At 38.6% G+C, this 15,855-nt stretch overlaps 1 protein-coding gene across 11 annotated transcripts in view; it reads left to right on the forward strand.

The window, feature by feature from the left end:
* Positions 1-15,855, forward strand: part of MYO3B (myosin IIIB) — a 477,021-nt gene that overhangs the window by 196,827 nt on the left and 264,339 nt on the right. For all 11 annotated transcript variants that reach the window (NR_045682.2, NR_045683.2, NR_045684.2 and 8 more), the window contains 5 exons: positions 7,043-7,139; positions 8,100-8,216; positions 8,737-8,841; positions 11,216-11,299; positions 12,133-12,335. Coding sequence is in view for 8 of the 11 variants with exons in the window: in NM_138995.5 (NP_620482.3) it covers positions 7,043-7,139; positions 8,100-8,216; positions 8,737-8,841; positions 11,216-11,299; positions 12,133-12,335 (606 nt within the window). In the remaining 3 variants the exon portion in view is untranslated. The remainder of the gene's footprint in view (positions 1-7,042; positions 7,140-8,099; positions 8,217-8,736; positions 8,842-11,215; positions 11,300-12,132; positions 12,336-15,855) is intronic.

Raw genomic sequence — 15,855 nt, forward strand, 5'->3', positions numbered from 1 at the left:
CAATAGAGCAGTTATTAATCCAAGTCTTACTCTTTTAAAGGAGTAAGCCCTAAAGGGCTAAAGAAGCCCTAAAACTATGTGAACAATGGGCTGAAAGTACATTGTTACTTCATCTGTTGGAGGTGTTTTTAAACTATTTGGTCATTTCCTTTATATCAGCACCTATTTCCTTGATCTGCAAAAAGACGACTTCTTCCCCAAACCAGTTTTGCAAATCCCTGAATTCATTAGTATCATCTGGTATGTCATCTCACTGTTAAAGTTCAGAGAAGTAGATTGAAAACATGCTTTGTATCATTTTACAAGGGTTATTGGGAGAAGAGTGAAACCACTCTCTGGAATGTGAGTGGAGGCAGGGAAAGGACTCGATTGTCTCTGCCACGACCATGAACTCAACCGTGAACCTCAGTAAAATTACAAGATCCAGCATGCCGTGCCCCTGCAGGTGGCTTGGTACTAGCTGAAACCACAGATGTTAAACCCTAAATGCCAAGGGTCTGTTCTAAGTATTACTTGGTAGAAGAATTAAGTTGCTGGGTTTTTTTTTTTTCTGCTCTGTTTAATGGGTTGTCATGTCGCCCTTGCAATTTGCCTGAGGCTGATTAAAACAATGACTTCAGCTTTTGATTTCTTTTCAACCTGCAGCAATGACCTTTAAAAACAGATTTCTCACTATTTAACTGCTAGTTTTCCCCAGTAATCCTTGCTCACTCTCTCCCTCTTCTACCTTCAAATATGTGCATGCATGCACACACACACACACACACACACAGAGCACCCCATATTATATACACTAATGGGTTATTGGGTTCTTATGTAAATAAGTAACTCCAGAAAGATTACTTCATAAAGTGCTGAAGAAGCTTAACACACAGGAGGTTAAATATCCTTTTATCTTCCTAACAGAAGAAATAAATCTATACCTTGCTATAATTAGTATCTGCTATCTATCTATACCTATATCTGTCTATCTACAAATGAGTAAGTTAGTTAATATTAATTTTATGCTGGTGTTACTGATTCTTGCCGCTTAGAGAAGTTGGGTATATCAAATACTGTTTAATATGATTAATGATAAGATGCTGATTTATTGGGATTCTGGCCAAAACGGTGCTTAGATGAAAAATGGGCAGATACTATAATAATTTCCACCCAAACAATTCTCCTATTTTAAAATTTATGCATTGTATTGTTTGAAAGACATAGCCTTAAGTTCAGGGTCAAGATACAGCTCATGTAGTTAAAGGTATCCAGCTGCTATCTCTGTCCATATTTGACTCTCAGTAGAATAATGTCATTCCTCAAAGGTCTGCTATTGTTTTTCTCGTTTGAGGTCCATTATTATATAGTTACGGTAAAATAAAAGTCCCTCTTTCATTGGCTCTGTTATCAAAGGGTATATTGAATGGAAATTAAGATTTAGAAGAAATATTCAACATCACTGACCTTGGTGTAGTAACAGTACTCTATTCTCAGTTTTGAGTAATGTTTTCTTTCTTGTATGGAATCCATTGAATGTAGTGATAAGGGAGTGATCCCTGAGTTCTCTCTATGGCCATGGAGGCTTTTGTCCTAGATTCTTGAGGACTGACATCTTTGAGCCTGCACCTTTTTCCTTATTCCCTCTCTCTATTTTTTTTTTTGCCTCTATCCGCAACAAATTTTACTTCCTTTTCCATCTGGAATCTGGTAACAGTGATAGTCATTCTCCACTTTTTGCAGTTCCACTCTTGGACGGAGGAGAGGGTTCTTATCCTGGGTGTGGAGGAGCAGAGGCAGAGGTGACCTTCACAATGGTGCTGACACAGGGTGACTCTCTAAGAAGCCAGCAGGCATTTCTCAGTGCAGAGATTAACTTCTTAGGAGTATATTGCTTGTTGTTATTATTATTAGGCTGAATTGATAAGCTAGAAGAATTTGTTTCCTTCTCATGTTTGAGTTATGATTTAGAGCACCTTTTTCTATTACTTGTTCTTCATCATAGTTGGGGAGTGAAAGGAAGAGCGTATCCTGTCTCACCTACGTGAAGTTCTTGCAGCTCTGTTTGTACCTACCTACATGGAAGCCTCCACTTCCATAGGCATAACTGGCAGACAGAAAGAGGCTAATTGATTAATGAGTCACTTTTGGGCAAAATATGTTTGTCAATATAGTTCATAGGACTAGCAGCTCAAACAAAGAAGCTAGCAGGCCCAGTGATGAGATATTAGAGAACAATGACACAGAAATGGTTTTAACCATAATGCAGATACAGAGATTAAACTAGAGTGAAAGCTGCAACACTTTAGGAGTTTATTTCATGAGAATAATTCTTCTAGTGTTTAAACCAGTTTGGTGTCCTCTAAAGCTCCTTTCCCACTCATTGGCTGGGCCAAAGATTTGAACAAAGACCCCCATCCTCTACCTCATCTATGCCCACTGTTGTCTTAGGGGAACTCCCAGCCTCTACCTCTGGCTCTGTCTTTCCCGTTCTTCAGATTCTATTCTTACGCTGCACTCATTTCCTTGGACTTGATGGTACAGACTTGCCCTCATTCCCACCCTACTTGATCCATGGATTCAGGCACCAGTTTCCCCTTTACCTGATCCCTGAAACCTAAGGCCCGTCCTGCTCTCCACAGTCTCCCGCTCCACTGCCACACCAAAAGCAAACTCCAGGAACCAGTCCAAGCCAAGACTTTCCCTCTAAGCTCCAACTCGCAAACTCTGTTTGTCTGAGAAGCCAGCCTTGGCAGCCAACATACTTACAAACTCATAAAAACAAGTAGGAAATCTAAGAAAAGCAATATAAACTTTACTGGAATTTGAAAACGTCTTCTGAGCCATTAAAACTACAGTGCCTTACCACATACTTTTGATTTAGTAGAATGTTTTTTGCTGTTTATCCATTCATTTATCTATGTCTCCATTCCTCTGAGCTTTGGAATACTCGATCCAAGTAGCTTTTAGTTGGAGATCTGTAATTTTCACATTAAACGAGGAATTCTTCAGCAAAAATTGATAATAGGTCCTATTCTCAAGTAGGGCACTAGATGGAGCATGTGAATTTAAAGGAAATTAAGATCTATAGTTACTAATGACACAAATCACTTAACTCAATAAAATTAAAAAAATAAACCAAGTTTATTTTTATTAATTTCAACTAAAAATAGAGAAATATAAAACAACGTAACGCTTTTTATAAGCTTATGCAAAGTCTAGGAAAATGTTTTTAAAGGAGATAAAAATTGAAATAAATAATGCTTTTTCTCTACGATAGACCCTCCAAACCCCATAGCCAGAGGAGGAAAGTTAAGCGGGCAGCAGTTTCCAAAGAACACTAGTTGTGGAAGGCAGAAATAGTGCTACACATATATATATTTTTTCTGGTTGAGAAAACGAAGTGGTCTTTATCAGAGTAGAGAAGTCTTGCATCTACATCCACTTCTAGATTGCCTACTTCACTTTTAGGAGCAAATATTTCTAAAGAATTTGATCACCTGTAAGCATGGAAAGAGGCCACACATTGCTACTAATAGCAGTTAAAATTTTTAAAAAGTTATTTTTTGTTAATACAATATTATTGGGGAAGATTTTTTACAAGAATCAAGCTCAGATTTGCAGACAACATCTGCATGATTCTTGGAAGTTATATCTGTGAGACAGATTGGCATAGCACACAATCTCCTTCAGGCTCAGAAGATACCAATGTTGATCCTAGTGATATTGCATTGTGTATATTCACACTGAAAATTAAAACTTTCTACTAGACTGCATCTATTTGTGAGATTGCAAGTAAGGTTTGGTCCATGCTTCCATTTTTAGTTGGCTATAAAAATGTCATCCAATGTGAAGCTTGGCATTTCTGTATGCAGCTCAGGCTGCCATTAAATCCAGGTCAGGAGTTACTGAAGGAAAAAAAAGCCTGGAAAACTCACCATTGGTTCAGTGGTATTTTGAGTTCTGACTTCCTTCCCCAGTCTGCCTGTTACAATTTACTTCTCAGAGTCTTAAGATAGCTGCTCCATGCATTCTGACAAGGGTATTTAGTTGTCTTCAGTGAGGAGTGGAGAGGGCTTACTCCATCTTGACCAGAACCAGATCTGAGGTAATTTTTTAATTATTGATTTTCTTTGTCAAATGATGTGCAGAATATGCAATTATAAGATATAAATGTAGGAAGGAGACAAACTAGCTGAATTTAATATGGTAATTTAATTATTTCATGAAAATGTGGTACAATTTTTTTTTTTTTTTTTTTGAGACGGAATCTTGCTCTGTTGCCAGGTTGGCATGCAGTGGCTTGATCTCGGCTCACTGCAACCTCTGCCTCCCGGGTTCAAGCAATTCTCCTGCCTCAGCCTCCTGAGTAGCTGGGGCTACAGGCGTGCACCACCACGCCTAGCTAATTTTTGTATTTTTGGTAGAGACGGGATTTCACCATGTTGGCCAGGATGGTCTTAATCTCTTGACCTTGTGATCCACCCGCCTTGGCCGCCCAAAGTGCTGGGATTACAGGCGTGAACCACTGTACCCAGCCAGTATTTTGTTTTTTGATTAACTTCAAGCAAAATTATTCTTAGGTTTTATGTGAAGGGGATTTTGATCGGAAATATGTATCCTCCTGCTGTTTTATTTAACAAAATGGCTAGCTAGAGGCAGGCAGCAGCTCTGAGTTTTAGTAAAAATCTGTATTACAAACCAATTTGATTTTTCTTTGCCATCACCAATATGTAAAGTCACAGATAAATAATTCTGTTTAATAATTTTAAACTGCTTAGGTTATAAATTTGATTTGATTAAATAAAAATTAAGCTTCATTCTACTTTGGACCTTTATATGAATTAGCAGCAAAACTGGTTCTAGGACTGGAGATGACTAATAGCATGCTTCAAATATCTCTTTTCAAATTTATCAGTGATGGAGATTGAAAGGTAAGATTTAACTTAATAGGCTAGAAAGAGAGAAATCCATTTTATTTGGCCATTAATATTGCATTATAAACTCAAGACTCAATATGCAGAGCTGATAAGTTTGCTTCTTCCTTTTTACCTACTTTTGTGAAATGCATACCAAAGGGTGGGGTGTACATCAAGATTCCATGACTTCTAGCTGGTACTTACCATAAAACTTTCAGTCAACACCAGCTTCTAGGATCTAGCTAGATAGAATTGTATTGGTGGGTGATATCCTCATAAGCTGTGATGTTGATGGGCACAAAAGTGACAGAGAAGAATCAAGAAGTTATGCTTCTGGGCTAGTGAATTTACAGTATGTAGGACAGTTTATGTATGATTTTGTTTAGTCAATGATATTCAGAGTAATGTGTGTAGTTATGCAAATTGTTGATTCCAAATGTTAACAAGGATGTAAGAATAATAATTAGTACATGTTTTCAACTTTATTGCATTTTTATATCCATGACTATATGTGCTTTCACAGCTACCTGGGAGATAGACAGATCAGTTATGAGTAATTCTATTTATAGATGAAGAAAACCGATATACTGGCTGTTAAGGGATTTGCTGAGTGTCTCATACCACATTGCTCGCAACTCTGAAACTAGGGTCCAGAGCTCTTCTAGCCAATGCTTTCCTCCTAAACCGCATTGAGGAGTGATGAGTTTATGAAAGGAATTACGGGAAGGCCTACTTTGACCTTGAATTAATTTTAAACCTTAAAGAGCTATATTTTAGTATACCAGAGGGGATTATTACTGATTATCAAACAAGATTTTTAAATCCTTAGTGAACAGTGCCCTCCAGGAGAAAAACTCACATATATACACAAAAAGATGTGTATAAAGTTTTAAGTGTTGCATTATTACTAGTAGCAAAAAAATTGGAATCAGCCTAAATGTTGATCAACATAGGACTGAGTAGGCCGGGTGCAGTGGCATATGCCTGTAATCCCAGCACTTTGAGAGGCCAAGGTGGCAGGATCACTTGAAGCCAGAAGTTTGAGATTAGCCTGGACAACAAAGCAAAACTCCATCTCTACAAAAAATAATTTTAAAAAATTAGCCAGGCACAATAGTGCATACTTCTAGTACCAGCTAGTTGAGAGGCTGAGTGGGGAGGGTTGCTTGAGCCCAAGAGTTTGAGGCTGCAGTGAGCTATGACTATGCCACTGCATTTCAGCCTGGTGACAGAGCAAGACCCCATCTCTAAAAATTACTAAATAAATAAATAAAATTTTAAAAACAACAACCCCCCCCATCGGACTGAGTAAATAAATAGGTACATATTCATAAAGTATAATACTACCCAGTGATTAAAGTGACTGAACTAGGTAGGTAGGTAAGTGGGTAAGGTAGATAGGTAGATAGATAGATAAATAGAGTTTAAAAATCATAATGTTTAATGAAAAAAGTAAGCTTACAGTATAAAACCTAAGTATGATATCATTTTTATAACTAAACATACAGAACCTGTATATTGCTCATGGGTATCTATAGGCATATGACCAATATTTAAAAATAGACTGGAAGGAAACCCATCAAATAGTGGTCACCTCAGGAGAGAGGAGTGGGATGGGACAAGGGTCACAAAGGGATTTCACATGAATAAGAAAAAACATAAACAGTGATCAATTATTTGGTATTTACTATATTAATCTCTGAAAGTGTTACGTAGGTTAAAAACTATCACAAAAGTTGGGGGTGGTGCTGGTAGATAAAGCAAGGGGACCTCAAGGGAAGTAAGGCACTTATGGCTATACCCCAGTGAGAACTATGTGCCTGACACTGAGCAGAAGTCAGAGGTGTTTATTCTGGAAGTGCTGTCTTTGGCATTTAAGAAAAGCAAGTATGTGTATTAGGTGGGCCCATTTGGTAACACTCCTCACTCTGGCAGGAAGTAGACTTGAACTATGGAGATCACTTTATCCCAATAGTTCTACAGTGGCAGGAAAAGCCTGGGGACCTGGACTGGACTTCCTGTCCCTGTCTCTGAAGTCTCTGAACATATCACGTGATAAGATTGTGAATGAGCCATGCTTGCTGCCCGCTTTCTGCTACATTATTTGCTGTCTTAATGCTTAAACTCTCTTGATAAATTTCTAGGCATGAGAGGATGCATACCAGAAGACCTTATCATGTGGAAGATGCTGAAAAATACTGCCTTGAGGATGATTTGGTCAACCTAGAGGTTCTGGATGAGGTACTAAATATTTAGTAGACAATTCTCATTGAAGACATTTGTTTCATGTGAATGGTCTGAACTTTCTGTTGTAGACCATGTCCTCCTAAGGTCATTTGAAAATTTAATTGTTTGTGTAGCTATGGGATGAAGTTCAGGGAGCATTCAGTTGCTGTGACTATGATCCTGTGCTGTGTTTATTTAGATAGCCCCTAGAATGATGAAGAGAAAAGGATTTGGATTTTTGCAATAAAGCTCTTTATATTGTAGCCTTAATGATGGATTATATCAGCTGAAAATATTTTGTTTGATAAAATTTGATAAAATATTTCAATTAACCCTTAAGAAGTTGTTTGTTCTTCATAAGAAAGAGCTTCATTTAGGGAAATAGTGAAGTTAATATAGCTTGAATTCTAAATTTGAAGTCTGTGATAATCCCCATTTAAAATATGCATGTTTAATAGAGCTGTTAATTGCACTGGACCTGTTTATGCTGAGTCTAACTCTGGGGATTGTTACCTTCAATGTCTAAATCACTAAAGTGTAATACAAAGTGGTTAATTCTGTATTTATGCCACCTAGGTTTTAAGTGCAGTGCTTTGAGAAATTAACTTACCATTCTGTCGGTGCTCTATCAGTAGGAACAGCCTATTAAATAAAATTTTAAATACAACATTTTGACTGGTTGAGATGAGTTTTTTTTTCACAATAACAAGTAAAATCTTTGTTGGATATCTCAGTGTCTTTTAGCAAGTCCTAAGTGGGCCTAATTCTTTCAGTGTATTCCTATTTTTTCTTTCAAGGCAAATATTGGCATTGTTTTAATGAATTGGGATCATTAGGGTCATTGTATGATTTAAATGGACTACTTTCATCGTTTAGAGAAAGATGTTCTTGGAAGAATAAATTTGTTGTCATTTTTAGAATCTATCCCTTGACTGGGAATAATATTTACCTCAATACCATTTATCCTCTTCTTAGGATACAATTATCCATCAGTTGCAGAAACGTTATGCAGACTTGCTAATTTACACATATGTTGGAGACATCTTAATTGCCTTAAACCCCTTCCAGAATCTAAGCATATACTCTCCACAGGTAAGGGATGTTTTAAGAGCATACTGCTCCTTAATAGGAAATTAAAACTCACAAGGGCAAATGAAGAGAAAGAAAAAGTAAGAATAAAATTATGCTACCCTAGATGTATATACTCCAAACTGCAGATAGTAATGTAATACAAATGGAATTTTTACATCTTGAGAATACCTTTTTAAAGCAAACTATAGCAATAATAGTTAACATTTATTGCGTGCTTACTGCGTGTTAGACACTGGGTTATCTCACTTTTTCACACCCTGTGGGACAGGTACTGTTGTTAAACCTAGTTGGCAGACAGGGAGACTTAGCATAGAGTGAACTCCCTCTTACTAGCTCATGAAGCCAGTAAGTATAGAAGTGAAATTTGAACTCAGTCCTGCAGGCTCCAGAACCTATACCCTACAGTCTTCCTAATGCAACAAGTACCCTAATAAGTGACAGATTCTTGGTTTCATGGGCAATAGGTAGTGGAGTATTAGATGGTCCAGGGGAGAGTTTCCTTTAATTATTTTTCCTTCAGTTTTCCAGACTTTATCATGGGGTGAAACGCGCCTCCAATCCCCCCCACATATTTGCATCAGCAGATGCTGCTTACCAGTGCATGGTTACTCTCAGCAAAGACCAGGTAAGAACTCACCTTCCTTTCCTACGGAGTCACCCAGTTAAGACATGTTGTGTCTTCCTCGTCAACTCCTAAGTCTTCCTGAAACCTTTCCATTCCGGTTGCTGGTGCTGACCCAAAGAGACAGGAGATGAAGTGGCAGCTCTGTGGAACTTGAGCATAGGTAAAGCCATAGCATCGGGAGAATGTGAAAATGCTTTTCAAGAAACATAAAACAGTCACATGAGGTGCGCTCATTTTCTCTGATAAGATATAATAAAAATGTCTCTAATATGAATATGATGAGAACAGTGCAAACGCAACCTGATTACATGGCAGTGATTGTAATAAAAATAGCATATAGAATGGCATAAGTGAAATTCTTTCCTATTAAGGTCTTAGAATTTTCATGATTCAGTCTTTTTTGTATGAAATATTGCACAGAGGTTGACAGTGACCATGCACCACACCATTTAGCTGCTGAAAAATTGTGATAGATTGGGTAGAGAATGAACAAACCTTAAACTCAATACTAAACACAGGCTCATCCATTTTACCTTTCTAGCCTTCTAATTCACATTGCTCATATATCTAATCTTTCATCCCTTCTTTACTTTCAATAGGTATATTTTTCTTTGTTTCTTTATTCTGTTTGAAATAGAAGTAGTCTAATTTGGCAAGCAAATTTTCTGAGGGTATCAATGTGTGGATTTCCTAAGATCTGGAAAAGTCCCAGCTTTGGGGTTTGTTGAGTAATAGATGACATTATAACAACATAGATTATAAAATGGAATACATGGATTCACTGTAGCTTAGAAACTTAGCTCTTCCAAATTCTTACCTTTCCCAGATACTTGTAAAATGTCCATAGATTTCATAGGGAGGAAGTAAATGGAGAGAAATATATATCGTTTTTAAGTTAAGAAGTTGCCTCACTGTGTTGTCTTTTTTGACACCACTTCTGACACCAAATGTTGTATTTTTTCCAGCATGAACCAATTCTCCAACACCAACTGGGTGCCCAACAATTCAGTTCAATTCTGACACTACCTGGAGTTAGCACAGACTCCACAGATTAAGCGATTAGTGCCACAAGACTGTTCCCACTTTAGATGCCAGCTGCAAATGGAGTACCTAGGCTTCTCACACATCTGCCCAGCCGAATACCAGTCCAGGGGTTCTTGTGACTCTCTTTAGGTTTGATAATTCACTAGGAATGACTCAAGGAACTGAGGAAAACACTTTACTTACATTTACCAGTTTATTATGAAGGGTATAACTCAGGAACAGCCAAATAGAAGAGACACATGGGGCAGGGTGTATGGGGGGAGGAAGGGGGCATGGCACACAGAGCTTCCATGCCTTTTCTGGACACATCCCCCTCCCAGCACCTCAATGTGTTCACCAACTCAGAAGCTCTCTGAATCTCCTTGTTCAAGAATTTGTATAACTTAATCTTTAAATCCCCTCTTCTTTCTAGAAGTTGGGAGGTAGGGCTGAAAGTTCCCACACTCTAATCACATGTTTGGTCTTTCTAATGACCAGTCTGAAGCTGTCTAGGGGGCTCACCTTGAACCACCTTCTTAGGAATAAACTGAGGTATGGTTGAAAGGGGCTCCTTGTGAATAACGAAAGATACTCCTACCACTCTTGGAAATCCCAAAGGTTTTAGGAGCTCAGTGCCAGGAACCAGGGACAAAGACCCAATATATAATTTTTATTATACCACATCCACTAATTTCCTTTATACCTAAAGAGCTCCTAGAAATGAATGATAAAAATATCAACAATACAATAAAAAATGGGCAAACAATACGGACAGGTCATGTAAAAGAAAAGCCTCTTAAGCATATGGAAGGAGGCCTCATTCATAATTTTTAAAATGCAGAATAAGGCTGCACTGAGATACCATTTTTTTAAGCTATTAGATTGTCAACAATCTAACATTCTGTTGTTGAGGCTACAGGAGAGCAGGCACTTTCACATATTGGTATAGTCCCTAGGAAAGCAATTTGGTAACGTGTGTCAAATTTACAAATGTATTTACCTTTTGATCCAACATCCCCATTTCTAGGAATTTCTCCTGCAGATGAACCTGCATAAAAATATAATGACTTAAGTATAAGGTTATTCATTGCAATGTTGTTTATAATTACAAGGAAAAAACTCAAATATCCCAATATTGGACAGATTAAACAGATTATGGTACATATGTACAATGGAACAACAAGTAGCTATACAAAAGGTTGAAGAAGGTCTCTATGTACTGAAATAGGAAGATGCCTAAGATCTATCTCTCAGTGAAAAATTAAGGTGTACAGTAGTGGATGTTATATGAAGCATGCAAGTTGCTTCTGTGCTATAAATTCTTCACTTGACGCTCCATTTTCTGTGCCAGTGCATTGTCATCAGCGGAGAGAGTGGCTCTGGGAAGACAGAAAGCGCCCACCTGATTGTTCAGCATTTGACTTTCTTGGGAAAGGTATTGACTAATCTGCTTTACGTATTGTGGCGAGAAGTTCCTACAGAGTAACTGCATATTTGATAAATGATGGAAGTGCTGGGTTTTTTTTATTAAGGCTTACATAAAGACATTCCATCTTTGCTACGTTTGCCTCCTGATAGCGAGGCCTCTTAAGATGTCAGCATGCTATCCTTCCTTCACGTAGGGAGGAGAATAATTCCAGCACAAATTTACTAGATTATCGGCAATTAATTTTCATGTTTTCAATGTAATAGAAACATTCAGCCATTAAGTAGTAAAAATGGTTAAGCACTAGGAACAGGATCAGGGAAAGCCACTATAGTGATTAAAAGGATGTAAAATAGAAGCCTTTGAGCAAAAGTTGAGGGAAATGAAAATTTTCAGCTTGGTGAAATCAATATTGAAAGAATGAATTCAAATAGTCTAGTAGTTACTTACACTCTGAATTAGTGTACTAGGTGACTAAGAAAGAATGTATGGAATTTTTATAGATAAGGTTTATAGACTATTACGATAAATGCCAGAAAAGTTACGGGATCTATTTAAAAATCTTTCTAAACTGGTTAGGTGTTTTATCTGTCAAGGATTTTAAATGAAATATGGCTGGATTTTTAAAACTGCTGTCCTAATCTAGCCAAATCCGATTCATATGCAGATCTGGGGAGTTGCTCATATGAGAAAATGATGCTGGTGGTTGATGCTAACGTCCCCCAAATGGGGCTCTTTGTAAAAAGACCATGTGGATTTTGGTGGGCAAGGGATGGTGCCTGGCAACTTTGCTGGTGTAATGTTTCTGGAGTCTCTTCTTGACCGTTCTCTGTTTGGCACAGGCCAATAATCAGACCTTGAGAGAGAAAATTCTACAAGTCAACTCCCTGGTGGAAGCCTTTGGGAACTCATGCACTGCCATCAATGACAACTCGAGCCGTTTTGGAAAATATCTGGAAATGATGTTTACACCAACTGGAGTTGTGATGGGGGCAAGAATCTCTGAATATCTCCTGGAAAAATCCAGAGTTATAAAACAGGCAGCGTAGGTGCACTACTTTATCACTGTGTTTTTGCCCTGCAGTAAAAACTGGGAGACTTTGGAAATTTTAATGGTTCAGTTTTCATTCTTGTTCTTAACATTCCCCTACCCTCCCCAAGGGCAAAGAATTATTTAAGCAAAGGATCAGTGGTAGTTTTTGACCTAAAAGAAATTAATGGAAAGAGTACAAAGGGCTGGGGTGGGCGTGCTTTAGGGATGGGTATGCTTGTTTCTCCTGAGTTGGTTGTGTCAGGTAGAATTTAGCAGCATTGCAGACATTTTTTAAAACCCTGAGGCCCCTTAAAATTGAACTTGTTGGTTAAAAAAGAAAAAGACACCAAGAATATTTCACATGTTAATTTTTTCCTTAGATTGAGACAGATAGAGAAAACAATTATTCTGTTTTTAGGGAAAGCATTTGGTAATAGAAATCAATAGCACAGACTTTGATCTGGGTTCAAATGCAGGTTCTGATACTCACTGTGTGACATTGGGCATTTCACTAACCTTCTCTGTGCCTCATCTGTGGAATGGAAATGCTACTAGTGCTGACCTCATGGGTTTGTTGTGAGGATTAACATGTTCATTTATATAAAATTACTTAAAAGAATGCCTAGTGTGGTACACCCTATCAGTGTTAGCTACTCTTCCTATGATAATAATATAACCACTGGTGTGGTACATACTATCAGAGTGTTAGCTACTCTTCCTATTATAATAATAACTCTTCATATAATAATAATAGCTATTATTATAATTGTTAATAATAATAGCTATTATTATTATTGTAGGACACCAGAGTTTCTCAGGAGCATGGCTCCGCACTTCCATATTAATGCATTATTGAATCCCTGCTGTTTGCCAGTGCTGTGCTTTGTGTTGGCTTGTAAGAGCAAACTAAATAAAAAAGATTCTTGTATTCACGGGGCTTAGAGTATGCGGTATATGAGGAAGCAGTAGGGGAGGATCACAGGCATTAAACAAGTAAACTTAAATGTAGAACAATTGTAATAAGCACCAGAAAGCAAAGTAGGTGCTATTAAGGTGAAACGAGAGAAGGGAACGACACATAACCTAGTCTAGGGAGAAAGAGGGGCTCCCTGTATATGAGATCACAGGATCACCAGGAGTTAGGCAACGAGGTGGGGACCAGAGCAAGGAGGAAAAGTGGCAAAGATAAGACTGAGACCAAATCATGCAGGGCTTTGGAACCAGGATAAGGATCTCAAACTTTTTTCTAAGGGCAATAGGAAGCCACTGAACGTTTTCAAGCAGGGGAGTCACCATACCCAACTTTCATTTTGAGATGATCACGCTAGCTTCAATGGGGAATGGATTGGGGGAGATGCAAGGATTGTGTTGACATGATTAGGAGGCTGTTGCCAGATTCATGTGAGAGAGAACGCTGGCCTAGACTAAGGCGGTGGCAGTGGAGATGGAGAGAAGATGAGGAGTCTGAGAGATACTGTGCAAGTAGAATTTACAGGAATTGTTCTGGGTTGAAAACCCAAGCATCTTCCTCTATCATGTACTTGCAGTTTCCTCACGCAGTAGGGACTGGCATGAACATTAAACAAATGAAAGACAGAGTCAGAGTCATTTACGCTTCCCTGTGGCTTTTTGATTAATTTTTATGAGGTCCCCTGCTTTTGTCTCCCCAGGTTAGGGTGGTTTTAAAATTTAGGGAGCTACCTCTGACAGAATGGAAAGCATAGTGTTCTGTGTTCAAATGTAAAGTGGTCTTTTACAAAGATAATGTGAGGAGAGTTCTAGGTCACTTAATGTGATATGTTGCTTATTAATGTAAATATTCATATACCTTACTTTCCTCATATGCAACATGGGCATAATAATGTCAACCTCACAAGGCTGTTATGAGAATTAAATGAGATGAAGAGAAGATGGGGCCTGTCCCAGTCCTGTTCATCTAACTGTTGGGATTCACCCCCTTCTGGGCACACTGTAGGGTTCCTGTGTGGCTGGGTGTGGTCATATAACTGGTTCTGGCAAGTGGGCATGTAATGGCAACCCTCCAGAGTCTGGCACAGTGTAAGATGGGGGCTGCTCTGCCAGCCACAGCCCATCAGTGACTGCAGTGAGCACAGCCCCACCGCTGACCTGCCATGGACATGTACTCTGAGCAAGAACTAAACCTTTATTGAGTTAAGCTACTAAGATCTGGGGGTGTTTATTATCATAACAAAGCCTAGCCAATCTTGACAGATAAAGGGATGAAAATGAAACTGAAGTGATGCTAGGGATGGATGTCGGCAGGAAAAGCTTGGAAGAATTGAGAACTAGATGGATCTGTAGAAAAACTAAAGGAATGTAAGACTAAGATGGGCCAGCCAAAGCCTGCACATGTAACAGAGGTTAAAGAACAAGTGACATTCATCTCAGGCCTTTCGGTTCCTGTCTCAGTGAAGGGTGCCACCATCACTAGATGCTCAAGCTAGAAATCTAGGAGGCAGACTCTAGGTTTCTTTCCGTCACCATCCTCATTCAGTCTATTAGGATGTTCTTTTGGTTGTTTCTCCAGAATATATATAATATTTAAGCTTACCGTTATTCTCCATCACCACTACCATTACCCTATCCAAGCTATTATGCTTTCTCACCTGGACCCCCTCACTGGTTTCCCTGTAGCCATCTTGGCTTCTTATAATGACACTCAGAGAACATGAATCCCTTTAGTCCTGTATCCCTGGCACCTGGTATAGTGCCTACCGTGACTGGCAATTAATATGTTTATTCATTGAATAGTCACATTTTTCTATTTATATATATCCTATAACATGTTGTATATCTTAAATATACACAATAAAATTTATTTTTAAAAAATAAAAATAAGGGCTGGGCACAGTGGCTCACGCCTGTAATCCCAGCACTTTGGGAGGCCAAGGCAGGAAGATAGCTTGTTTGAGACCAGCCTGTGCAACATAGTGAGACTCTGTCTCTACAAACACAAAAACCTTAGTGGGGGATGGTGATGTGTGCCTATAGTCATGGCTACTTTGGAGGCTGAGGTGCAAGAATTGCTTGAACCCAGAAATTTGAGGCTGCAGTGAGCTATGACCTCACCACTGCACTCCAGCCTGGACAACAGAGTGAGACCCTGTCTCTTAACTAGATTTATTAGTTAAGTGAACAAGTGAGTGAGAAATGGCAAGTAGAGGCATCTAGAATACAGGGCAGGGATAAAGAATGTCACAGAAGGGCTTTGACAGGATAAACAACCAAAGGAAGATGAGGAGACCCAGGAGAGGCTGAACAGAATGGGGGCCATGCCACAAAGGCGGATAAGGGGAGAAGAAAGACGATTTCTTTTCATGGAGCTAGGTTGACCAAAGAAAAGATTTGCCAAAATCCAAGGGTATCTACAGAAGAGACTGTCCTCCTCCAGAGGAAAGAAGGGGATGTGGAGCAGTGCTTTTCAAACTCTGTGCTAAGGGACCACTTTTTAAAAAAAATCTCCAACCCATTTTGAACTAATACCTTTGTAAAATGCAATGCAAATTAATTA

The sequence above is a fragment of the Homo sapiens genome, chromosome 2 (genome assembly GCF_000001405.40).
Source record: "Homo sapiens chromosome 2, GRCh38.p14 Primary Assembly".
In the NCBI taxonomy this organism is placed as follows: domain Eukaryota; kingdom Metazoa; phylum Chordata; class Mammalia; order Primates; family Hominidae; genus Homo; species Homo sapiens.